A 24,422-nucleotide genomic window follows, 5' to 3' on the forward strand; every position below is an offset into this window, starting at 1 on the left:
GAAGTTCTTTGCAAATGATAAAGTGCTACACAGAAGGTTATTCTCAGTAGAGGTGGAGATGTAGTCCTTGTAAGCCATGGGAAAATAGATTGTACCAAGGCACAAATGCGGGAAATTGCAATTTGTGTCCAGGGAACATTTAAGTTGCCCACTTTGGCTAGAGTGTCAGTGGTAGCTGGGAATAGAGCTTTGGACAGGGTTGACCCTGGCCATGAATGTCAGGCCAGGCAGTCAGTGAAAAACCAGAGGGGGACATTAATTGGAGCATGGCCTGCAAAAATGAATCTGGAGGGGTGTGTGTGATTGGATGAGAAGAGACAGAGCCTGGAGGTAAGGAACACTGGAGTGTTCTCATATCTAGGCATTAAAGGGTAGGACAAGAACTTGAACTAGAGTAGGAACCAGGGGGATGGAAAGGAGGTGCTGGCTGGAAGAGAAAGTGTGAAGAAGATAGTCTGTCTCTGTGCCCAATAAAGAGAGAAAAGGAATTTTATTTTGTTTTATTTTTTGAGACAGAGTCTCGCACTGTCGCCGAGGCTGGAGTGCAGTGGCGCGATCTCGGCTCACTGCAAGCTCCGCCTCCTGGGTTCACACCATTCTCCTGCCTCAGCCTCCCGAGTAGCTGGGACTACAGGCGCCCACCATCACGCCCAGCTAATTTTTTGTATTTTTAGTAGAGACAGGGTTTCACCGTGTTAGCCAGGATGGTCTCGATCTCCTGACCTCGTGATCCGCCTGCCTCGGCCTCCCAAAGTGTTGAGATTAAGGCGCGAGCCACCGCACCCAGCCAAGAAGAGGAATTTTTAAATGTCTTTGAGGTTTTTCAGCCAATTGTAACACAAGTTTGATAATTGAACACACGTTTAGCTGGAGATACATTCATGTTAATCAGTTGGAAGTTTGCACTGGGCAATTGTAAATTCAGAACTAGGTCTCAGGAGAGAGCTCCAGAGTGCAGATACAGATGTGGGGATAAGTCTCGTTGAGCTTGAAACCACGGGCTTTACACCTCTGAGGGTTGCAAAGAGAGAAGAGAAAAGGCTACAAATGAAGGCTTGGGAAATGCCCTGATCTAAGGAGCTGGATGGAAGAGGGAGCAACATGTTTTCAGGGTCTCTTGACGAGACGCTTAGGTGTGCATTCCTTCTCTCTCTTTAGCTACATAAACCTCAGTTGAATTTATCTTTGCAGGACTCCTAAATGCAAAGTCCCTGGATGTTTCTTGCAAGACCTTGAAAAGTCAAAGAAATACTCTGGAAAAAATTTAAAGCGAAATAAGGATGAATTGGTTCAGAGAATCTACGACCTGTTTAACAGATCCGTCTGTGATAAAAAGGTAGGATCAATGAATGAGCACTGATTGAGCACCTGCTATACACCAGTACTCTTGGTGCTGTGAGGTGTGCTAACCATGTATACTTCCTGCCCTTGAGCAGAGGCAGTTAAGGTTGGGAGATGAGCCCTGGTACAGGTGAAAGCAATAGAGAATGTGTATGAGTTATAATGTATAGGACAGATGGCTGTTACCACAGGAGATCAGCAGAGGGAGAAATCACTAAGAGCCTCAACAGCCAGGAAGTAAGATTACCTGGAGGAAGTGAGACTCTGCTTCTTAAAGGATGGTAAGTGGCAAACAGGATGGGGGAGAGGGAGAGTTGAGGCTCGACAATCAGGAAGAGAGGATTCTTGTGGAAGGATAATGGAAAAGAGCTGTGTGACCTTGAACAAGTTACTTGACTTCAGTTTGCCTCAGTTTCTTCATCTGTAAAATGGGGACAACACAGTACGTATTACCTCATAGGATTATTGTTACCCTTACATAAGTTAATACACATACAGTGCCTAGAACAGGGCCTAGGACATAGTAAGCTCTTATTTTTTGATAGTGTAGGACTGGATACCAGAGGGCCTTGGGAATCAGGTTGGAGGAGGTGAAATTTACATCAGTAGGCACCACTGCACAGGGATGGGGTGCATCAGGGAGTGAATGAAATTAACCTGCTGAAAGAAATTAACCTGACACTAACCTGTGGGTATGGACTGGATTGGAGAAAATCTGGAGGCAGAGAGACCTATTGGTCATTAGATTTTTCAGACTTCATCATCTCTGGTGACAAGACTTTATGGAGGGAAGTTCTTACATATTCCTAAAGGTTCCCCAGCCTTTGATGCCCTTCTGGATGACAGTGGTGTCACATCAGATGGGTGGAAACTGAAGTGTTCTGAGTTGCCTTTTCAGTCCAGCCTCGCCCACCTCAGCAGGGTTGTCCTTCTCTCCTTGGCTGCCCTAAGGACAAGAGACCCAAGTCCTGCACTCACGTGTTCTATCAATCTCCCTTGTGTCCTGATTGCCTGTTTGTTGTCTTTACCCAGACGTTAATGTGGCTTTTATTCTCCTCAGAATGTTTTGATTTGTGTGCTCTTTGAATAAATTTCTTCTCAAACTTGCTCTGAGCCAAGAACCTGGGGGAGAAGGTTCTTTTTCCTTTTTATTAGAGGGTAAAAAACTCTGGAGTTAATATTTTCTGGTCTGCTTAAAACTGCTTTCTGGGCCCGGCGTGGTGGCTCACTCCTGTAATCCCAGCACTTTGGGAGACCAAGGCAGGCGGATCACCTGAGGTCAGGAGTTCGAGACCAGCCTGACCAACATGGTGAAACCCTGTCTCTACTAAATACGAAAAATTAGCTGGGTGTGGTGGCGCATGCCTGTAATCCCAGCTACTTGGGAGGCTGAGGCAGGAGAATCACTTGAACCTGGGAAGCAGAGGTTGCAGTGGGCTGAGTTTGCACCATTGCACTCCAGCCTGGGCAACAAGAGCTAAAACTCCGTCTCAAAAACAAAAAAACAAAAAAACCCAAAACAGCTTTCTGATTCCTTTCATTTGCGTTTCATTCTCAGCTGCCAGAGAAACTACGCATAGGCTGGAATAACAAGATGGTGAAAACTGCTGGCTTATGCAGCACTGGTGAGATGTGGTACCCAAAGTGGCGGCGCTTTGCCAAGATCCAGATTGGCTTGAAAGTCTGCGACTCTGCAGGTGATGGCAGGAGTGTGGTAGCTTCACCACTGTGCTCTTTCCTTCTGACACCGTGCCTGTGAAATTACTCCTAGCTGGTAGCCTGTGTCACAGCTCGAACTGTCATTCTTGGGTGGGCAGGCATGCTGTGTGTTGCTTAGAGGACATAGTTATTGGATGTCTCACCATCCCTGTGAATCAAACCTATCGATCTTTATACCAGGCCTGCCTTTCTCTCTGCATTTCCCCTTTGCCAGCAGTAGCATCTTCATTCTCTCAGGAGCTGAGGTTCAAGGTCCCCTCTTTCTAGCCAATCACCAAATCTTCCTTCAGAGTAGCTCACCATTCCTTCTCTATCTGTGCCTCCATCCAAGGACAGGCCCTCATCCCTGCTCTGTTTGGTCTCCCATATGCCACTACATTGCTTTCCTGCTGAGAAACCAGGGCTTTTCAAGGCCTAGAGCCTGGCTTTTGAGGCCATTGTAATCTGCTCCTGTTTGGCTTGGCCAATCTTGTCTCTCAGTATTCTACCACTAGCCCATGCCCCAGACAGGCTCTCTTCACACTGGCCTTCAAAACATACCACAGGCTGGGTGTGGTGGCACCCATCTGTAGTCCCAGCTATTTGGGAGGCTGAGGTAAGAGGCTTGCTTGAGCCCAAGAGTTCGAGGCCGTAGTACACTATGATCGCACCTGTGAATAGCAGTTTCACTCCAGCCTGGGCAACATAGCGAGACTTAGTCTCTAAAATGTTTTTAAAAATGTGCCACATACTCATGTTTTGCCACACCCAGAATGGCCTTTCTAACTTTGCAAATTCAATCAATTAGTAAGAACCCCTGAGATCTCAATTTCACCATGGAGCTTCTCCTAACCAAATCCCACGGCCATAGCGATTGCTCCCCACCCTGTCCATCTCTGTTCCTGGAGGGCAGAAACTAGATCTTGTCCTGATGTTTTTCTAGAAGTGCCTCATAAAAAAATGAGCATGTTGGAGCTGCTCTGAAAAGACCTGCTCACCGAAGGCTCTTTGCCATAAACAATATCGGGTTGAAGTAGGTTCACTATTCACTTTGAGAATCCTGGGAAGGTAACACTCGTGCTTGCCTGCATGTGCTTCTTTAAGATAGCCTTGTGTCTGGTGGCGCTGAAAGTCGAGGGGTTGTTGGGTAGCAGATAAGAAGAGGATTGGGGCCGGGTGTGGTGGCTCACGCCTGTAATCCCAGCACTTAGGGAGGCCGAGGTGGGTGGATCACCTGAGGTCAGGAGTTTGGGACCAGCCTGGCCAACATGGCAAAACCCCGTCTCTACTAAAAAAAAAAAAAAAAAATCAGCCAGGAATGGTGGTGCATGCCTGTAATCCCAGTTACTTGGGAGGCTGAGGCAGGAGAATCACTTGAAACCGGGAGGTGGAGGTTGCAGTGAGCTGAGATCATGCCATTACACTCCAGCCTGGGCGACAAAGCAAGACTATCTCAAAAAAGGAAAAAAAAAAAAAAAAAAAAAAAAAGAGGATTGGTTTTAGTGCTCACATTTCTTTTCATTCTTCTTTCAAGACCGAATCCGGGATACCTTGATCCATGAAATGTGCCATGCTGCCTCCTGGCTGATTGATGGTATCCATGATTCTCATGGTGACGCATGGAAGTATTATGCCAGGAAATCCAACAGGATACACCCGGAGCTGCCCAGGGTCACCCGTTGCCATAACTATAAGATTAACTACAAGGTCCATTATGAATGTACTGGATGCAAAACGAGGTAAGACTCTTCTCAGACTTTTCCCAGTTACGTTTTGCTGGGGCCTCCAAGTGGCTCTTCAGTGATTTTATAAGTAGATGGCTGTCTGAACTGAAGAGGAGAACCTCTCTCCTCCTTTCCACGTTCTCTTTCTCCTTTCTCTTCCGTAATTTGAGCCGGCCTGACCACTGCTGCCGCTTGGTGCCCGGGTCTCTGACAACCCAGAGAAAAGTATTGCTTTGGGCCCAAGGCTAACATCTCAGAGCTGATGCTGAGGTGCAGTGACTGATTCTTTTGTTGTGTGTTGTTCCATTCCTTCCCAGGATTGGCTGCTACACCAAATCGTTGGACACCAGCCGCTTCATCTGTGCCAAATGCAAGGGGTCTCTGGTCATGGTGCCATTAACTCAGAAAGATGGGACCCGTATTGTGCCCCACGTGTGACCATTTGCTGTGTATGTGCAGAAGTATTATAGAAAAATTATGCAGGAGATGGCTAGGATTAGCCTTGGGGATGTGATGAAAACACTTGGCAGGAATTACAAGGCAATGAAGAATTCTTAAGGTTATCTTAGAGTATATTAATGTGAGCTATATCCTTTACTGGTAAGAAGTTTTAGAAAAGTTTGTTTTGTGAAGTTAGGAATATTAGAATTTAGGTACTGTTAAGTAAGTAATGTTAGAATTTAAGATTCATGTTATTAACGATGATTGACCTTAAATAGGGACTCTATTGCTAACCATTCTGTGCCCTTGACAGGGTATTTCTGAAGCCCTTGGGATCTACCTTGGGTCTTACTTGAGTTCCATATTTTTCACATGTAGAACAAAATGCAAAAGAAAAGTGAGTTTTCAAGAGTGGCAGGTTGAGAGAGGAGAATGCTGGAAAGAGGACAAGTTTGAGAGGCAACACTTAAACACTAGGGCTACTGTGGCATCTATGTAGACAGGAAAGACAAACGTGTTTCATAAAATTCGTTGTTGATGGTATTGATTGAAACTATCTGAGCCATGTAATCAAAAAATAAAAGTTTTCTGCATCTTGCTTGTTAGCAAAGTCTGTTCATTGAATCCCTGCACCTAGAGCAGAACAGACCCTCTGGTCTTTTGTCCAAGACTCCGAACATCTGAAGCCCTCCAGGACTCGTCTAGAGGAGCGTGCCGCACTCCGTGTTTCTCTCTGGATTTCTGTGACTGCCCATAAGGACTTAGCAGCTTCCCTACTTCTTGGAGTGATTCAGGATGTGGATTGGGATCCACATTGTATTCGTTTCCTATGGTTGCCACAACAAATTACCACAAGCATAGTGGCTTAAAACAACACACATTTACAGTTCTGGAGGTCAGATAGTCCATCACCGGTGTCACTGGGCTAAAATCAGGGTGTTGACAGGGCTGTGTACCTTCCTGGAGGCTCTGGGGGAGAATCTGTTGCCTTGTATTTTCCTTTCTGTTTTTTTTGAGACAGAGTCTTGCTCTGTCACCCAGGCTGGAGTGCAGTGGCACGATCTTGGCTCACTGCAACCTCTGCCTCCTGCTTTCAAGTGATTCTCCTGCCTCAGCCTCCCGAGTAGCTGCGATTACAGGCACCTGCCACCATGCCCGGCTAATTTTTGTAGTTTTAGTAGAGACAGGGTTTCACCGTGTTGGCCAGGCTGGTCTGGAATTCCTGACATCGAGTGATCCACACGCCTTGGCTTCCCAAAGTGCTAGGATTACAGGCGCGAGCCACCTCGCCCGGCCTTTTCTGCCTTTTAGAGGCTGCTCACATTTCCTGGGTTCATGGTCCCGTCCTCCAGAGGCAGTAACAGCTCCCTCTCTGACTCCCCTGCTGCCTCTCTCTTTCACTTTTATTTTTATTTATTTATTTTTATGAGATGGAGTCTCACTGTCGCCCAGGCTGGAGTGCAGTGGTACTATCTTGGTTTGCTTTAACCTCCGCTTCCTGGGTTCAAGTGATTCTCCTGCCTCAGCCTCCTGAGTAGCTGGGATTACAGGCATGCACCACTGTGCTCAGCTAATTTTTGTGTTTTTATTAGAGACGGGGTTTAGCCATGCTGGCTAGGCTGGTCTCGAACTCCCGACCTCAAGCGGTCCGCCTGCCTCAGTCTCCCAAAGTGCTGGGATTTAAGGTGTGAGCCACCGCTCCCGGCGCCTCTTTCACTTTTAAAGTACTCTTGTGGTTACTTTGGGCCCACCTGGATAATCCAGGAGCCTCTTCTTCAAGTCAGCTGATTGGCAACCTCAATTCCCTTTTGCCATCTAAGGTAACATAGTCACAAGCTCTGGGGGTTAGCACGGGGACATCTTGGGCGCCATGTTTTCAGCCAGCCACAAGCATCTTGACTACCCTGATACTTTTTCTAGGCAGGGTGCATTCTGTCATTTCCCTTCCTTTCTTCATTTTGTAAAAGCTTGGAGTGTCTAGAGGCCACAAAGCGGGATGGTGTGTTTATGTGGTGGGACGAGCTTCCCCAGGTAACTCTTCAGATTCTTCCTCCCCATTCCCATCTCCGGCCGTTTCTGCAGTTTCAGCAGGGGTGCAGCTGGCCTGTGAAACTGGATCCTAGCACATTGGTGACTTAATTAGGGGGCACTGACAGTGCAGTAGACCCACCTTGTCACCTTCTGTTTTAACTCAGCCCTGTCACTTGCCTTTCTGGGAAACCCCAGTTATTTCTTTCCCTCACTTCGGCCTCATTGATAGCCCTGGAAAAATGCTCCCCACAGCCCGCCTCCAGGTGGCTGTGTGCTAATGACTGTTGGCAAGTCATCTGGCCTTGCTTTTCTTCAAGCCCACAGCCATTTCCCTAGTAAGCGCTTGTATCACTCACCTGAAAAACCAGTAGGGCCTTCTGACTGGTCTCCAATACCATCACCTGATCCCAAATTACCTTTCAGTCTTACTTTCAGCCTTCCCACTGTTGCTACTGCCCTCCCTTATGCCTGGAAATACTACTTGCCCTTTAAGTCTTCAAGAAGCCTTCCCAAATGGCTCCAACCTTCAGTGCCCTGAGCTCTGGGTTCACTGTGCCACTTATGTGCCCCATGGCCCAGGCTGCTGGGTTTCGCTAGTTTCACACACATCTTGCCTCCTGTCCTGAGCTGCTGGAGTGCAGGGCTCTCGTGTTCATGTCTGATGGCCCCTTCCCCAATTATGCCAACCAGCTGCCTAACTGCTCACTCTGCACCCATGTACTTGGGTGTTTCCCTGTGAGTAGAACAGGAGTGCCCACGAGGGCAGAGACAAAGCTGCAGACAGACATTGATGAAGGCAGGATGGGCTGGCACAGACCCAGGGCCAGGCAGGGAGAACCAGGAAGTGCCCCTGGAGCCCAGGTGGGCTGGGCTGACTGTAATGATGCACGAACATGCCCTGGTCCTGACGATCTTGTTTATTGAAAAGTTTTAAGCAGGATTTTAGACATAAAAATAAAAGAGCAAATATAGAGGTCTTGGGGACCATGGCCACAGTCACTGCTGAGCTGGAGGCCTGGGCTGTGGCTTCATGGGGCAGCACCCTCTACGCCATGCCTTGTACTCCCCGCACTTGGGGAAGATGAAGTTTTAGTTTCCAAATGAGAAGGGCAGTGGGGCTCCAGGCAGCCACCTCGGGCGGCAGGATGGGGCTTGGCAGCTAAGGAGCAGCAATGGTGCAGTCCTCAGAGCTGGGAGGGTGGCTTCCCGGGAGACCTGGTGGTGCTGGGGCTGCCAGTGAGTCCCGGGAGCGAGGATATTGGGGAGAGCCAGAGCCGGCAGAGGGAGGGAGGAGCCTGGAATGCGGGGAAGTCAGACTGTGGGCGAAAGGGGAGCCCGGATTCCGGCCTCACAAGCCCGAGTAGGAGGCCTCTGAGGTCTCAGACCAGGATGAATCCCGGCGGGAAGACGATGGCTGCCTCTGGAGCCCTCTCTGGTTGGGGCAGCCCAGGCGCAAGAGCAGCATCCACATCCGCTCCCGGAACTTGACCCCTACAAAGGCATAGAGCAGCGGGTTGAGGCAGCAGTGCATGTAGCCCAGGCCTGAGGTGACCGACTTGGCCACGTCTACCCTGCTTTCTCGGCCACAGTTGCGGGCCAAAGCGCCCAGGTCCATGAGGATGTCCACCAGCACCACCAGGTGATAGGGGGTCCAGCAGAGGGCAAAGGCCACCACGACCACCACCACCAGCCGCATGGCCCGCAGGCGCCGCTGGCCCCTGGAAACCAGCAGCACGGCCAGGATGTGGGCATAGCAGTAGGCCATGACCAGCAGGGGCAGCAGAAAGCCAGCCACCAGCTGCAGCACCCGCAGAGCCGTGCGGCCCACCTGTGGGAAGTTGTATTGGCAGTGGGTGGCGTTGAGGCGCTCGTCGTGGTGGGCCGACAGGAAGATGAAGTCTGGGAGGGCGAAAAGCAGGCAGAGCCCCCAGACAGCCAGGCAGGTGAGGGTCACGCGGGCCGGGGGCCCCCGGCGGTAGAGCTGGGTGGCATGAACTATGTTCAGGTAGCGGTCAAAGCTGATGCAGGCCAGCAGGAGGGCTCCTGCGTAGAAGTTGATGTTGAAGAGGGCACCTGCCACTTTGCAGAGGCCAGAGCCAAAGACCCACTGGACGGCAGCGTCCACTGCCCAGAGCGGCAGTGTCAGCACCAGCAGCGTGTCTGCTACAGCTAGGTGGAGCAGGAAGGTGTCGGTGCTGCTCAGGGCTGTCCGCCGGCTCAGCAGCACGGCTGCCACCGCGCCGTTGCCCAGCAGCCCCAGCAGAAAGAGGAGGCTGTAGAGGGCTGGCAGGAAGGCCCGGTCGAAGTTCAGGCTGAAGTCCTGTGGGCAGGGCGGGGAGGTACAGCACGAGTCACTCTCGTTTTCTCCATAGTCATAGGAAGAGCTGAAGTTCTCCAGGAGGGCGGCAACCTCGGCGTCATTTAGCACTTGGTGGTCACTCACCTGTGAGGGCGGGAACGGGGAGGAAGGGGCTGTGTAAAGGCCTGGCAGGAACTCTTTTGTGATTGAGTCTGATTTAGTCTGTGATTTACTCTGAGCAGCTCCTCCTATAACTGTCCCCGCCAGTCTTCCAGGGCCGTACTTCCTCAACTCCATCCGCTCAGCCTGGGCTCTGGGATAGTGACTTCCCTTCTCAAAGGCTGCTTCTCTCGCATTCTTCTGCGTGATCCCATCGGCCCAGGGACCCCTGGGCAGGAAGAAGAGCGTCCCTCCAGTGCCCAGAGCCCTCTCTGCCCACTGTCCTCTCTCTCCCTGCTCTCCCTTCAGGCTTGCCTTGCGTCCTCAGTGCCCCACCCCCAACACATAGTTCAACCACCTTCCTCCCCAGCGCCTCTCCACAATCCCCTTTTCCAGTCACTAACCCTCCTCTTCCCTCCTTGGCCCTTGTCCGGGGACCCCAACTTCCTGCGCCCCCCCCCACCGTGTGGCCTCTCTACAAGTCACCACGCCCCCCAAATGCATGCAGTCTGCCCAGTCCTTCCCCCTCCCTACACTGAGGCTTGCACGGCCATTTAGCTGCCCACAAGGGGATCCCCCACTTAGCTTGAGAAGGAATCTTCTTTATCCCCTCACCCCCAGCACTATGGACCTGCAGGTCTCCCCAGTACCAATTTAGTCCAGCACGCCAAGAGTCAAAGTTCCAAGTCTCCTGAAGGGAGCCTTCGAGTCTACTTGCCCCCCGCCCCCCCCATTTTGCAGACGAGACACCGAAGCCAGAGAGGAGAGGAGAGGCACCCAGGGTCAGTGGCCAAGCTGGGTTCCCAATTCCCCAGTGCTGTTTCTGCCACAACCCATGCGGCCTCCAGCTACTCACCCAACCCTGTGGTGACCCTGGGCTGTGGGCCAGCCCTGGCATTCCCCTGATGCCCCGGGTTTTCCACTTCGAATTCTGGCCTGGCCTGGCTGGGCAGCAGCACTTACCTCAAGGACCATGGCTGGGCTGGTGCTCTGGCTGCTGGGTGGTGTGCTGCCTGCCCCTCTGCTTTGGTGCTTGTGGTTGGAAACCTGCAGTCACAGAGGAAGTGGGAGTTTCAGGCAGTTCTCAGCAGCAGCCTCTTCCAGGGAGTTACCTCTACCAGACCTCCCTAAACCTCAGGCCACAGAGTTTCCGTGACTGGGTGAAACCTCTCTGGAGGAGCTGGCTACAAGCTTGGGACCAGAAAAGCTGGGCAGAGGATGACTGGCTGGGGGCAGGTCCTTTGAGAAGAGAGGTCTGAAGAGGAAGCAATGCAGCTGAGAAGTGAAGGGCAACCCTACTGCCTGCACTGGTAGGGTCAGTGCTCCATAGATTGGAACTCATCTGTCCTGGCCTTGAGTTGATCTTTGCATGATTGTAAAGGCTGGGTAGAGAAATAAGTCTGCAGAGGAGATCCACCTTCTTAAAAATTTCAGCTAGGTGCAGTGGCTCATTCCTGTAATCCCAGCTACTGGGGAGGCTGAGGCAAGAGGATCACTTAAGGCCAAGAGTTTGAGACCAGCCTGGGCAGCATAGCGAGGCTCCATCTCTACCAAAAATAAAAAAAGCCAGCCGGGCATGGTGGCATGTGCCTGTAGTCCTAACTACTTGGAAGCCTGAGACAGGAGGATTGCTTGAGCCCGGGAGTTCAAGTCTGCCTTGAGATATAATTGTACCACTGCACTCCAGCCTGGTGACAGAGTGAGGCCCTGTCTCTTAAAAAGGGAATTAAAATATTTTTTTAAAAAGCCGTTACACTAAATCTAGCTTTTTACCACCACCTCTCCCTGCTAATCAGTGGGGAAAAAGAAAGGGAACTACCAGTAATGAACTTGCTATGTGATAGACATTGCTTTAGGTGCTTTCTCCGACACTGCCTTATTTCAACCACACAACTCACTTGTGACGTGCGGGGTTATCTGCATGGATGATTCAGAAAGGGGACAGGCCTTCGCCAGACACGGCAATTAAAGGTGGGCGTGAGGATTGATCCCACGGCTGTCTGATTCTCCTTTTCCTACTCATGAACACTGTCTTCAGTTTCTTTTAAGTGAATAAGCTATGATATATTCATGCAGTTAAAAACAAATGAACTAAAGCTACACATTTGAACATGGATGCATCTAGAAAAGCCAACGATCACATGGTAGAAGAAGCAAGTTACAGAATGCCATGTATAGTTTGATGCCACTTACATAAACTCTAAAAACCACCACAAAATCAATACCATGTTGTTTTGGATAACACTGTTGGTTCTCGAGGTTTAAAACAGGGACAGGAGATACCACAAATTCATAAAAGCAGTTGCTTCTCGGGCAAGAAGGAGGATGGGGTTGGGGAGGAGGCCATAGGAACTTCTTGATCTTAAGGAAAAGCTGTAAGGCAGCCTTGGTACAGCACATCAGTCACTTTATGGCAGAGAATGGTGAACAATTCCTCTCCCCACCTGCCCTCAGCTCTCCCCTTTGCCCTCTTCTCCCCTCCCTGTCGCCCTCTTCTCATTACCAGTGGGCAAGGCTGCCCGTAATTTGCTTCTCCCAAGCAGTTTCCTCTTTCTCTCTCTCCCCTAGTTGGAAAGCAGGGGTGGAGGGAGAGAGAGAAAGAAGAGAGAAGAGAGAAGAGAGAGAGAGAGAAAAGCAAGTGCTAGCCCATGGTCTTGGGGCCAGTTTTCAGCCAGACTGCCCCACCAAAGCCTCCAGGCTAGGGCCTGGAATTAAATTTACACCCACATGAGGCATACTTGCAAGGCATCAAGGCCCTTCCCCTCCTGTGGACAGATGTGACTCTCCTTGCTCTAAACAGCTTGTCACCTGCAGGGTTCAGGCCAGAGGGAACTGAGGGCCTGGCAGAGGTCAGGAGCAGTGCCAGTGGAGGGAGCAGGAAGGATTCCAGAAACCAGGCCAGTTAGGATGAGCAGGACTTGGCCAGTAGCTACCTATGGGGGTGGAAAAGGGTTGGGAGCTGGGACCACAGTCTCCCAGTGCTGACCTGTGAAGAGGTTTGAGTTCCATGGGCTTCTGCAAATGAGAAAATTGACCATGGAAAGCCACATTTGTTCCATTTAAAGGTCTGTCTTATATTCAGCAATCATGTTATTTGTCCCCTTTTTTTGGTATCAAAAGGGCCTTTTCTTTATGAAATGATGGGGAAAATAGATGGTAGTTTTGGAAACATCTTGTGATGGCAGAAGTTGACAACCCAATGTGGGTCCTCTAAATCAGCAGTCCCCAGCCTTTTTGGCACCAGGGACCGGTTTCGTGGAAGACAATTTTTCCACGGACTGGAGTGGGGATGGTTTCGGGATGAAACTGTTCCACCTCAGATCATCAGGCATTAGATTCTCATAAACAATGCACAACCTAGATCCCTCCCACGTGCAGTTCACAACAGGATTTGTGCTCTGCTGATCTGACAGGAGGCAGAGCTCAGGCAGTAATGCTCCCTCCCCCTGCAGCTTACCTCCTGCTGTCCAGCCTGGTTCCTAACAGGCCACAGACCGGTATACTGGTCCACCACCCATGGGCTGGGGAGCCCTGCTCTAAATAGATGTTGAAATGTTACTGGTCCATGTGAAAGATAAAAGTCCAGGCCGGGCACGGTGGCTCATGCCTGTAATCCCAGCACTTTGGGAGGCCAAGGCGGGCGGATCACCCGAGGTCGGGAGTTTGAGACCAGCCTGACCAACATGGAGAAACCCTGTCTCTACTAAAAATACAAAAATTAGCCGGGTGTGGTGGTGCATGCCCATAATCCTAGCTACTCGGGAGGCTGAGACAGGAGAATTGCTTGAACCCAGGAGGCGGAGGTTGTGGTAAGCCGAGATCATGCCACTGCACTCCAGCCTGGGCAACAAGAGTGAAACTCCGTCTCAAAAAACAAAACAAAACAAGACAAAAAATTAGCCAGGCTGGCACATGCCTGTAGTCCCAGCTACTCAGGAGGCTGAGGCAGGAGAATTGCTTGAACTCAGGAGGTGGAGGTTGCAGTGAGCTGAGATCGTGCTACTGTACTCCAGCCTGGGTGACAGAGTGAGACTCCATCTCAAAAAAAAAAAAAAAAAAAGACAAGAAAGAAAAAAAAAGAAAAAAAGGTAACCCTGGTGTCCTCCCTGGTGTCCTTCCAGTCTCCTCACTTGTTTGTATCATGTCCTTCCCAGGTTGCTGGGAAGGACACATGAGAGAAAGGCAGGGCAAGAGCTTTGGAAAGGAGCAGAGAGCTTTCCTTTCTGAGCTCGGACACCCTGATAATCAGGGCCGTACCCTGATATCAGGGCCGTGTCCTGATAGCCCAAGCTGGGCTATGGGTCTGAGCTGTTCCCAGTGAGGCCATGATGTTGTGGGAAGAATGCTAAACTTGTCTGAGTTCCAGCCCTGACTCCACCCTGTTCGAGCTGTGTGACTTTGGACAAATTACATAGCTGAGTCGAGCCAGTTTCCTCAGCAGGGTTGTTAAAAAGATGAACTGGAATAACCAAGGCTGTAGGCTTCTAGCACAGGGCCCATAGCTTAGTAGGAGTACAATCGAGAATGTTGAGTGAGAGAGATGTTGGCTACAAACCCGGAGCAACCAGGAGCCTTTCATATCAAGGGAGCCAGTGATAGAGGGTGGCACTTGTGGGGCGTACAGGTGTGGGCTTGGCCGGAGGGCTGGTTTTCCAGAGAGGCCACCCTCTGCCTTAACTGGGGGTGGAGGGGGACGGTGAGTTTGCCAGTCCTAGGCGAATCCTCTGGCTGCCCAGCTGTGTAATCTCAGGCAAATTATTTAATCTCTGTACCTTGGTTTCCTCATCTGAAAAATGGGTCTAAGGATAGTATACATTTGATAGGGTTGCTCTGGAGACTGCAAATGATATGTGTAGAAAGTGTCTGGGGCAGGGTAGGTGCCTAGTGAGCAGCAGTCTCCTCCCGCTCTAGGAACTTTCCAAACTGACCCCTCCTAACCTCGCAATTGCAAGTCTGTGGTGGGCTTCTGCCGTCGTGCACAGCTGAGATGTCTTAGAAGGTTGCTGTGTTACGGGGCTGAGCCAAACCCTTGACCAGCTGTCTAATTTGGTTCTTTCTGGTCCCAAACAGCTCCCAGACCAGGACAGAATCAGGCCCAGCTTAGGGGACAGCTGCCTGGCCAAGGGCCTGCAATCAGAGTTCTGGCCAGTGAGCCTCCTGCCTCCGCCCTCCAGAGCAGCTGGCGGGGAAGCCTGAGGAGGAAGTTAGTCAGAGTGAAGCTGCTCCGGGCCCCACCTGTGGTCAAGGTGCGAAATGTGCACCTGGCTCTTCTCTGCCACCCCTCCCCCTGTTTTTTTCTTTTTTTCACACCTCTGGGCTGTGGTTTGAGGAGATGGGAGGCTCAAAGGTTGAGGCCTGGGCCCAGTGCCTCACAGGAAGGAGGGCCCCTACTGCTGTCTGCCAGGCCGGCCAGCCCGGGAAAAGGGCCATTTCCTCCTCCTCTCTGTCAGAGTCGGCTGCTTCACAACCTCTCTTGCAGCTCCTCCAAATGCCTCTTGGAGCACTACTCCAAAAGCTACTGGACTTGGCCGCCAGCCCCAGGCTGTTAGGGGAGCAGGCTCAGCCAGGCCTGAGGTTCCCGTGTGGCCCAGGCTGGGGCTGAGACTATCTTACGTGAAATCAAGAAGAGTCCAAGCCCTGGGCAGGGGTCTGTATCTGCTCCAGACAGTGCCGGGACCCTGGGCTTCCTTCTCCTGGCCCTGAATTTCCCTTGAAAGAGAGCTGAAGTCACAGGGAGACCTGGGGCCTGGGGACTGCCTCTTCCTCTGCCCATGTCCTGCAGCTCTGAGCCCTCCTGGGAGGCAAGTCCATTTTAAGTGCTGGGGGCCGTGGGCTGGGGCCTTGGGAGCCCAGGAGGTGGGACAGACAGCCCCAGCCCATGAGGGTGAGTTCCCAGACCTGTGGGGACACTGCTTTTTTGGGGAATGGAGAAGGCCTCACAGGGGAGATGAAGTTTGAGCTGGGTCTTGGAGGACGTTGCTGCTGTTTGTCACATGGCAAAGGGAGACGAGGCTGTTCTCAGGCTGGGGGAACACCAGGTGCCAAGACAGGGAAGTAAGGAAGAGCTCCTCACACCAGGGGCGGTCAGACTGGTTAGAACGGAACGTTCTTGTGACGGCAGGAGGGTAGAGGGGGCTGGAAAGCAGTTCAGGACCCAAGCCCCACCACCAAGCACAATGACCTTCCTGTCATCCTGTCTCTGGCAGTTCCCTGGGAACTATTAAATAAAAGGACTTCCATTCTGCAAGGCTGTACTTTCATACATGCGATCTCCTTTAAACCGTTCAGCCACCCAGTGAGGGAGAGGCTACTGCGCCCATTTTGCAGAATGGAGGTTCAGAGAGGTGAAGTGATCTGTCCAAGCCTAGTCAGCCAGGAGGGCTGTGTCACACTGCCAGCCCTCCAAACATCCTGCTGCTCAAGGACTCATCAGGAGCCACACCTTTCTCATCACACAGCCCTAATCAGGCATCTTGTGTGGTGAGGGTGGACACCCACTTGGCTGGGCTGGAGCCATAGAGGGGAGTGTTGATAGTTTGCTTCTTGCATTTCCTTGGGTTTCCCCACAGGGTGAGGTCAAACAGGGTCATAAGAACTGAGGACATGTATTTGTTTTGGGGCTTTTTTTGGTTCTTTTTTGTTTTTTTGCTTGTTTTTTTTTTGTTGTTGTCTTTTAGAGACAAGGTCGCACTCTGTTGCCCAGTGGGGAGTGCGATCATAGTTCACTGGAGCTTCGACTCCCTTGGCTCAAGCGATCCTCCTGCCTCAGCCTCCTGAGTAGCTGGGACTATCGGCATGTGCCACCACGCCCAACTTATTATTATTATTGTTTTTAAACTCTTTGTAGAGACAGGGGTCCCGCTATGTTGCCCAGGTTGGTCTCCAACTCCTGTACTCAAGCCATCTGCCCGCCTCAGCCTCCCAAAGTGCTGGGATTATAGGCGTGAGTCACCTCGCCTGATGGACATTTATTGATTACCTACGTGCTAGGCACTGTTCTCAGGGTTTTATTGGGATGAATTCATTTAATACCTACAACTATGTAGTAACTATGTGGCCATTACTATCATCATCATCCTCATTTTACAGATGACAGAAACACAGAAAGTTCAAGGAACTTACTCAAAGTCACACAGCTAGTTAGTGGCACAGGCTCCTCATCTTCCCCCATTACACTCTACAGGGACACTGTGTAAGGTGAGAGGGGCTGGGAGCGAGAGTGCTGTTCAAAGAGGACTGCTTTGGCCTTGTCTGTATTGTTTTATTCAGAGACTGCATTCATGTATTAGCTGTGTGATTAAACAGTCATCAAAAAGGAGAATAAGGCCGGGCACGGTGGCTCACACCTGTAATCCCAGCACTTTGGGAGGCTGAGGTGGGTGGATCACAAGGTCAGAAGTTCAAGACCAGCCCGGTCAATATGGTGAAACCCCATCTCTACTAAAAATACAAAAATTAGCCAGGCGTGGTGGCAGGTGCCTGTAATCCCAGCTACTCAGGAGGCTGAAGCAAGAGAATCACTTTGACCTGGGAGGTGGAGGTTGCAGTGAGCCGAGATTGCACCATTGCACTCCAGTCTGGGTGACAGAGCAAGACTCTGTCTCAAAAAAAAAAAAAAAAAAAAAAAAAAAAAAAGGAGAATAAGCCAGGCATTGTGGCTCACGCCTGTAATCTCAACACTTTGGGATGCCAAGGTGGGCAGATAGCTTCAGCCCAGGAGTTTGAGACCAGCCTGGGCAACACAGTGAAACCCCGTCTCTACAAAAAAAAAAAAACAACCAAAGATTAGCTGGGCGTGGTGGTGCGCACCTTTGGTTCCAGCTACTCGGGAGACTGAGGTGGGAGGATCACCTGAGCCTGGGAATTTGGGGCTGCAGTGAGCCAAGATCGCACAACTGCACTCCAGCCTGGGTGACAGAGCAAGACCCTGTCTCAAAATAATAATAATAATAATGAAAGAATAAAATTAAGCTAAAAGATTGGGACAATTGGTAAAATTTGAATATGGCCTGGAGATTAGACAAAAACCTTGTATTCCTGCTATTTAGCTAATTTGGATAATGTAAGAGAATGTCCTTGTTTGTAGGAAATACACATCGAGATATTTAGAAGTTAAGGGTCATGAGGTCTGCAATTTACTTTCGTGTGACTTGGAAACCAAATATGCAGAGCAAGAGAGAATGCACAAAGGATAAAGCAAATGGGGCGGCATGCTAATAACTGGTGATATGGAGGAAGTGCATAAAGGAGAACTTTGTACTATTCTTGCAACTTGTTTGTATTAGGTTGGTGCAAAAGTAATTGCAGTTTTTGCAATTGAAAGTATTGCAGAAACCGCATTTAATTGCAAAAACCGCAATTACTTTTGCACCAACCTAATAAGTTTTATGTTATATCAAAATAAAAGTTAGGTCGGGCACGGTGGCTCACGCCTGTAATCCAGCATTTTGGGAGGCCGAGGTGGGCGGATCACGAGGTCAGGAGTTTGAGACCAGCTTGGCCAACATAGTGAAAGCCCGTCTCTACTAAAAATACAAAAATTAGCCGGGCATGGTGGCACGTGCCTGTAGTCCCAGCTACTCGGGAGGCCGAGGCAGGAAAATCGTTTGAACCCGGGAGGCGGAGCTTGCAGTGAGCTGAGACTACGCCATTACATTCCAGCCTGGGTGACAGAGTAAGACTCTGCCTCAAAAAAAAAAAAGTATCAGAAGAATCTCAGGCAGGATGGGTTTGATATCGGATGCTATTCCCTGAATCAGCTTAGAGGCCGTGTGAGAAGAAGGTGGGGTCAAGCCTGCCTGGGAACGCATCTTTTCTGGCAGTGGCCTCTGGCCTCATCCCGGTCCCAGGAAAGCACCTCTCCCTCCCTCAGTTGGTCCCCACCTTTCCTGCTCGTGGCCTCACTTTGTGCTTCTAGAATCCTGGGCTTCTTCCCTTTTCTCACTGTCTGGCTACCTCCAACCTCTCAGCCAAGTTCCTCCTGACTTCCCCTGCAGCCTTTTGAACCAGGGAGGGAAGCCTGCTTGCCCTCCAGCTGCAAGGCATCAGCAGCCCGAGGGCTTCTTCTCCAAGCCACTCAGGGCCCCTCAAGGAATACAGGCCACACCAGAGGCTCCCGGGTTGACCCCATCCTTGGCTCAGACTGGCTGAATAGAAGGGATTTGGGGTTGTGTTATTCAGAAGGTGTCACCAGCTGAGAGCCTGAAGTTCTTTTTCCCAAACTGAAGAGGGCCTGCACAGCTGGCTAAGGCCCCTTCCTGAGGAGCAGGTAGTCTGGACTGGGCGTGGCCTGGGGCTCTTGGCTGCTGCTGGGCTTCCAGGAACAGGGAAAGGCACACCCTGGAAACCGTTGTGCCCAACCCAAAGACACTCCACTGAGCAAAGCTGCCAAGTAACGTTCCTCCCTTGGTCCATACCTTCTGAGACACCCAATACTGCTTGAAGCTGCCCTCCCAGGACCCGCACGAGGCCTCTTAATGGTGGGCCTGACTCTGGGCTGGACTTTACCTGCTTGGACTCTCAGGCCTTCTGGAAAATTCCTCAACCAGCCAAAAATCGCTTTCTACAATCCCAATGTGTGGTGTCAGCCTTGGGGACTTTGTCCACATTGCCCTGTGCCGAGGTGCCATGGCCCAGGCCCTGCCTCCTCTTAGAGTGGAGCCCGTATTTCTCCAACTAGGCAGCTAGCCATCTGTACAGGCATAGGCATCAGTGGCAGTCTGGCCAGAGCCTGGCTAGTCCCATGCAAGGCAGGGCAGCAGAGTGGGTAAGCACACGGACCCTGGAGCAGGCTGTCTGGATTGGGTTCCTGGTCCTGGTTTTGCCATTTACTAGCTTTGTGACCACGGACAGGTTATTTAACCTCTCTGTCTTCTGGATTAAGAGTCAATCTAGGGCTGGGTGTAGTGGCTCATGCCTGGGTGCTCCCAGTACTTTGGGAGGCCGAGGTGGGTGGATCATTTGAGATCAGGGGTTTGAGACGAGCTTGACCAACATGGTGAAAACCTGTCTCTACTAAAAATACAAAAAATTAGCCAGGCGTGATGATGGGCGCCTGTAATCCCAGCTACTGGGGAGGCTGAGGCAGGAAAATCGCTTGAAGCGGGAGGTGGAGGTTGCAGTGTACTGAGATCGCACCACTGCACTCCAGCCTGGACGACAGAGCCAGACTGTCTCAAAAAAAAAAAAAAGAAAGAAAAAACTTGAAGAGACACCAAATTAAAAACATGCTCTTGCTTGTGGCAGTCATGAATTCCTCACTCACAAAATCCCAGACTAACTGCTGACTAAGCCAAAACATCTGAAGATGAGCGGACAGATGGATGGCCACAACAATAATATTGACCAGGAACGCTCCCCAAGTGCCAGGTGCTGCTTAAAGCACTTTTACACATATCTATTCTCGTGAAAACTCTTTCAGAAAGGTTCTATTTTTATTTCTCTTTTAAGGATGATAAAACAGACTCAAAGAGGCTAAGTCACTTGCCCAAGGTCAAACGGCTAGTAAGTGACAAAGCCTGGCTTTCAAACCAAGCCTTCTGGCTTCAAAGTCCACACTCCTAACCAGCCCGCCCTTCTGTCTCTGGGAATACGTTTTATCTTGTGAATACCCTTCCTGCCCCCAACTGGATTTGAAAAGACCATGATGTGACTTTAGGGGCTGAGGACACCCAGTCTGGGACCTGGCGATGGGCTCTGGAGTGGAGCACTGAGATAGCGCAGGGGCTGGGGTGAGAACCACGGCAAGGCATCTTCCTGGAGCCAGGGAGTGTGGGAGTGCCTCAGACGGTCTGCAGTTAGGGACTGAGGACAGGAGGTCTAGGGGTTGGGAACTAGAGGTGGTTACCAAGGAAACTAACAGTGCGGTAAGGCTCTGTCTAATTCTAAAAAAAAAAGCAAACGATATTTTTAAAAAGTTAAGGCTGAGTGTGGTGTCTCACGCCTGTAATCCCAGCACTTTGGGCGGGCAAGGCGGGCGGATCACGAGAGTTCGGGAGTTCGAGACTAGCCTGACCAACATGGAGAAAACCCATCTGTACTAAAAATACAAAATTAGCCAGGCCTGGTGGCACATGCCTGTAATCCCAGCTACTCAGGAGGCTGAGGCAGGAGAATCGCTTGAACCCGGGAGGTGGAGGTTGCGGTGAGCCAAGGTGGTGCCATTGCACTCTAGCCTGGGCAGCAAGAGTGAAACTCCGTCTCAAAATAAATACATAAATAAATAAAAATTAAAAGTCAATTTTTTTTTCAAGGATGGCTTAGGACAAACCCTCCGTGAGACTCCAGATGAATTTTTAGCACATTTGCTAGTGAGTAGTGGTATTTCACATAACTAATTCCTGGAGTATTTAGCCATTACCATAGCTTATAAAATAGCTAGAGAAGCGCTTTCATGTGAAGAGGCGTAGGGTAATGGGATGGTGGCAGAGGATGGCTGTGGTTCGGGCAGGGAAGGCAAGTCTGGGAGAGGGGAGATGGTATGGGGGCAGGTAGGTGCAGGGAGACCACTTAGAGGGTAGGAGGATGTTAGTTAAAGTGGAGGTAGCAGGGTGGCAGAGAGCGGAAAGAGGAGGCAATAAAGAGCCGAATCCACAGGATTGACTGGCCACCCCCAGGCCAGTCTGCCTCTAGCGGGGTTCCATCCATCTTTGCCGTGAGGATGGCACTCACCGTGACCCATTGGCTCGCCCTCTGGCCCTCATGCCAGGTCGGAGAAACCCTGCACAAAAGGAATCTGTTCACTTTCACTGAACCTCAACTTATTTAACAAGGAACCTTCACCTTCTCACAACAGACCCCCTCCTATCACTGCTATCATTATCCCCAAACATGAGTGGTCTGCAGGACACGCTTTGGCAAACACCAGCCAAGAGAATGGAGGCTGTTCTCCTGGCCTGGCCATTAAGGCCTTCCATGATCTGGCCCCAGCCTCCAGGCCAGCCTGATTCTCCAGTCTGTCTTGAGCATCCTATATTCCAGCTGAACTGGGCCACATGCTGTTGTAGACCTGCTCCAAGCTTCCACTGCTTGGCTGGTCTGTCTGCCCGAGTCCCACCCACCATCCAGGACTTAGAGATGCAGCTCAGAGCCACAAAGGCATAAAAAGTCTCTTTAGCTGGACTCTGTGGCTCTGCCTGAGGGCCCCAGGTGACAGGGCAGGACACAAAGGAGAGATGAGGAGACCCAGGGGAGGAAGCAGGAAGTTTCAGTACCCTATGACTGCCTTCCAAATATAGAACTAAGTTGAAGCGATTCTGCAGGGCAAGTCTCTGACTAGAAGTGTCCTTTGCCATCTGATCCCCTGCCTCCAGCTTTCTTACCCTCAGAATCATTAGTCAATGATTTCCCAAACTCCACTGGGAATCAGTGAACAATTGTAGTAGAAAGGCCAAGGCAGGCTCTAGAGAATTCCAACGGGAGTCCAGTTGGGTACAGGAACCGTGTAGCATGGTAGTAGTAAATGGGCTTTGTTTGGTGTCAGACCCGCCTAGGTCTCAATCCCAATCCCACATCGACCAATTCATAGCTGTGTGATTTGGACAAATCACTTCACTTCTCTGAGCCTCAGTTTCCTTGTGTACAAAGTAGAGATTACACCTACTTTGTATGATAATGATGAAATGGTTGTTGAGAACATTACATGAGATTAATTTGGGTAAATAACCCGGTGAAGTGCCTTGCCTTCTCTGATCACCCACTGTAAAATACACCCTGCATCCCTCTCTATCCTTTTGGCCCATTTTATATATATATGTGTGTGTTGTGTGTGTGTGTGTGTATGTATATATATATATATATATTTTTTTTTTTTTTTTTTTTGAGACAGAGTCTCACTCTGTCACCTAGGCTGGAGTGCAGTGGCACAATCTTGGCTCACTGCAACCTCTGCCTCCTGGGTTCAAGCGATTCTCCTGCCTCAGCCTCCCAAGTAGCTGGGACTACAGGTGCACACCACCATGCCCAGCTAATTTTTCTTTTTTTTTTGCATTTTTAGTAGAGACGAGGTTTCACCATGTTGGCCAGGCTGGTCTCAAACTCTTGACCTCAGGTGATCCAACCGTCTTGGCCTCCCAAAGTGCTGGGATTACAGATGTGAGCCACCGTGCCTGGCCCATTTTATATTCTTTATAGCATTCATCACCACCTGCTACTTATTTGCTTATTTGCTTATTGATCTATTATTCCACTAGAATATACTTTTCACAAGATATATAATTTGGGTTTTTTAAATTACTATGTCACCAGGGCCTTGAATCATTTCTGACACATAGTAGGTGCTCATTCAACAAATACATTTTTATTTATTTAAATATTCAATAAATAGGCTGGGTGCAGTGGCTCATGCCTGTAATCCCAGCACTTTGGGAGGCCGAGGCGGGCAGATCACTTGAGGTCAGGAGTTTGAGACCAGCCTGGATGACATGGTGAAACTGTCGGAGGTATTTAAACCAGACAACTCCATCTTGAATAGGGGCTGGGTAAAATAAGGCTAAGACCTGCTGGGCTGCATTCCCAGGAGGTTAAGGCATTCTTAGTCAGAGGTTAAGAGGTAAGCATAAGATACAGGTCATAACGACCTTGCTGATAAAACAGGTTGCAGTAAAGAAGCCGGCTAAAACCCATGAATACTGAGATGGCAACAAGAATGACCTCTGGTTGTCCTCACTGTTACTCTCCCACCAGCACAGTGACAGTTTACAAATGCCATGGCAATGTCAGGAAGTTACCCTATATGGTCTAAAACGGGGAGCCATGAATAATCTACGCCCCTTGTTTAGCATATCATCAAGAAATAGGGCTCGGTGGCTCATACCTATAATCCCAGCACTTTGGAAGGCTGAGGAGGGTAGATCACCTGAGGTCAGGAGTTCGAGACCAGCCTGGTCAACATGGCGAAACGCTGTCTCTACTAAAAGTACAAAAATTAGCTGGGCATGGTGGTGGGCACCTGTAATCCCAGCTACCCGGGAAGCTGAGGCAGGAGAATTGCTTGAACCCAGGAGGCAGAGGTCGTAGTGAGCCGAGATCGTGCCACTGCACTGTAGCCTGGGGGACAGAGGGAGACTCCGTCTCAAAAAAATAAATAAATAAACAAATAAAATAAATAAAAATAAAAATGGGCAACCAGCAGCCCTTGGGGCTGCTCTGCTTATCGAGTAGCCATTCTTTTATTCCTTTACTTTCCTAATATGCTTTCACTCTACTCTATGGACTCACCTTGAATTCTTTCTTGCATAAGATCCAAGAACCCTCTCTTGGGGTCTGGATTGGGACCCCTTTCCGGTAACAAAACTTCATCTCTACAAAAAATACAAAAAATCAACCAGATGTGGTGATGTGAGCCTGTAGTCCCAGCTACTCAGGAAGCTGAAGCGGGAGGATCACCTGAGCCTGGGAGGCAGAGGTTGCAAAGAGCCGTGATGGCACCACTGCACCCCAGCCTAGGCAACAGAGTGAGATTGCCTCAAAATAAATAAATAAATAAATATTCAACAAATAATTCTTTATTTGAATGAGTTAGAAAATGAATAAATGGTCTCATGCATAAAGGTCTTGCACACATACAATCTGCGGTGCTGGGAGCTTGGTTCGTGGCGGCTGGCTAAGGTGTGACCTATTGCAGGGTGTGTTCTGTGGAGCACTTGTCTGGGGCCTGTATTTGGAAAACAATGCCCATTAGCATAGGAAAGTTTTCAGGACATTCTGCTATAGACAGAATCACCAAACTC

General features: G+C 50.1%; 2 protein-coding genes across 8 annotated transcripts in view, besides 7 other annotated features; one reads left to right on the plus strand and one right to left on the minus strand.

Moving 5' to 3' along the window:
• The window catches only part of GCNA (germ cell nuclear acidic peptidase), a 35,147-nt gene extending 29,345 nt beyond the window's left edge, over positions 1-5,802 (plus strand). Inside the window, exons 10-13 of the mRNA NM_052957.5 lie at positions 1,192-1,336; positions 2,900-3,038; positions 4,574-4,778; positions 5,081-5,802. Of these exons, the coding sequence (NP_443189.1) occupies positions 1,192-1,336; positions 2,900-3,038; positions 4,574-4,778; positions 5,081-5,201 (610 nt within the window). The 3' untranslated portion in view covers positions 5,202-5,802. The remainder of the gene's footprint in view (positions 1-1,191; positions 1,337-2,899; positions 3,039-4,573; positions 4,779-5,080) is intronic.
• Positions 4,538-4,832: a silencer, noted in NCBI's record as "tiled region #14051; K562 Repressive non-DNase unmatched - State 10:DNaseD". NCBI's record gives its function as "represses a minimal TATA promoter and a strong SV40 promoter by Sharpr-MPRA in K562 cells {active_cell/tissue: K562}" and the evidence as "EXISTENCE:reporter gene assay evidence [ECO:0000049][PMID:27701403]".
• Positions 8,138-10,730, minus strand: CXCR3 (C-X-C motif chemokine receptor 3). 7 transcript variants are annotated; one of them, XM_017029436.2, is made up of 3 exons: positions 10,657-10,730; positions 9,064-9,678; positions 8,138-8,726 (listed from the first exon to the last, which is right to left on the minus strand). In XM_017029436.2, exons 1-3 carry the CDS (start codon positions 10,666-10,668, stop codon positions 8,547-8,549), a joined length of 807 nt encoding a protein of 268 aa, XP_016884925.1. In that variant the 5' UTR covers positions 10,669-10,730; the 3' UTR covers positions 8,138-8,546. The 7 variants fall into 7 exon arrangements, with proteins under 7 accessions (XP_016884925.1, XP_047297966.1, XP_005262314.1 ...); XM_047442010.1 differs by having other exon boundaries at positions 9,064-9,922; XM_005262257.4 differs by having other exon boundaries at positions 10,550-10,730.
• Positions 8,150-8,199: an enhancer, noted in NCBI's record as "active region_29745". NCBI's record gives its function as "activates an Ori minimal core promoter by ATAC-STARR-seq in GM12878 lymphoblastoid cells {active_cell/tissue: GM12878}" and the evidence as "EXISTENCE:reporter gene assay evidence [ECO:0000049][PMID:35858748]".
• Positions 8,460-8,729: an enhancer, noted in NCBI's record as "active region_29746". NCBI's record gives its function as "activates an Ori minimal core promoter by ATAC-STARR-seq in GM12878 lymphoblastoid cells {active_cell/tissue: GM12878}" and the evidence as "EXISTENCE:reporter gene assay evidence [ECO:0000049][PMID:35858748]".
• Positions 14,938-15,087: an enhancer, noted in NCBI's record as "active region_29747". NCBI's record gives its function as "activates an Ori minimal core promoter by ATAC-STARR-seq in GM12878 lymphoblastoid cells {active_cell/tissue: GM12878}" and the evidence as "EXISTENCE:reporter gene assay evidence [ECO:0000049][PMID:35858748]".
• Positions 17,026-17,085: an enhancer, noted in NCBI's record as "active region_29748". NCBI's record gives its function as "activates an Ori minimal core promoter by ATAC-STARR-seq in GM12878 lymphoblastoid cells {active_cell/tissue: GM12878}" and the evidence as "EXISTENCE:reporter gene assay evidence [ECO:0000049][PMID:35858748]".
• Positions 17,126-17,175: an enhancer, noted in NCBI's record as "active region_29749". NCBI's record gives its function as "activates an Ori minimal core promoter by ATAC-STARR-seq in GM12878 lymphoblastoid cells {active_cell/tissue: GM12878}" and the evidence as "EXISTENCE:reporter gene assay evidence [ECO:0000049][PMID:35858748]".
• Positions 20,058-20,352: a silencer, noted in NCBI's record as "tiled region #2992; K562 Repressive non-DNase unmatched - State 23:Low". NCBI's record gives its function as "represses a minimal TATA promoter and a strong SV40 promoter by Sharpr-MPRA in K562 cells {active_cell/tissue: K562}" and the evidence as "EXISTENCE:reporter gene assay evidence [ECO:0000049][PMID:27701403]".

The sequence above is a fragment of the Homo sapiens genome, chromosome X (genome assembly GCF_000001405.40).
Source record: "Homo sapiens chromosome X, GRCh38.p14 Primary Assembly".
Lineage (NCBI taxonomy): Eukaryota > Metazoa > Chordata > Mammalia > Primates > Hominidae > Homo > Homo sapiens.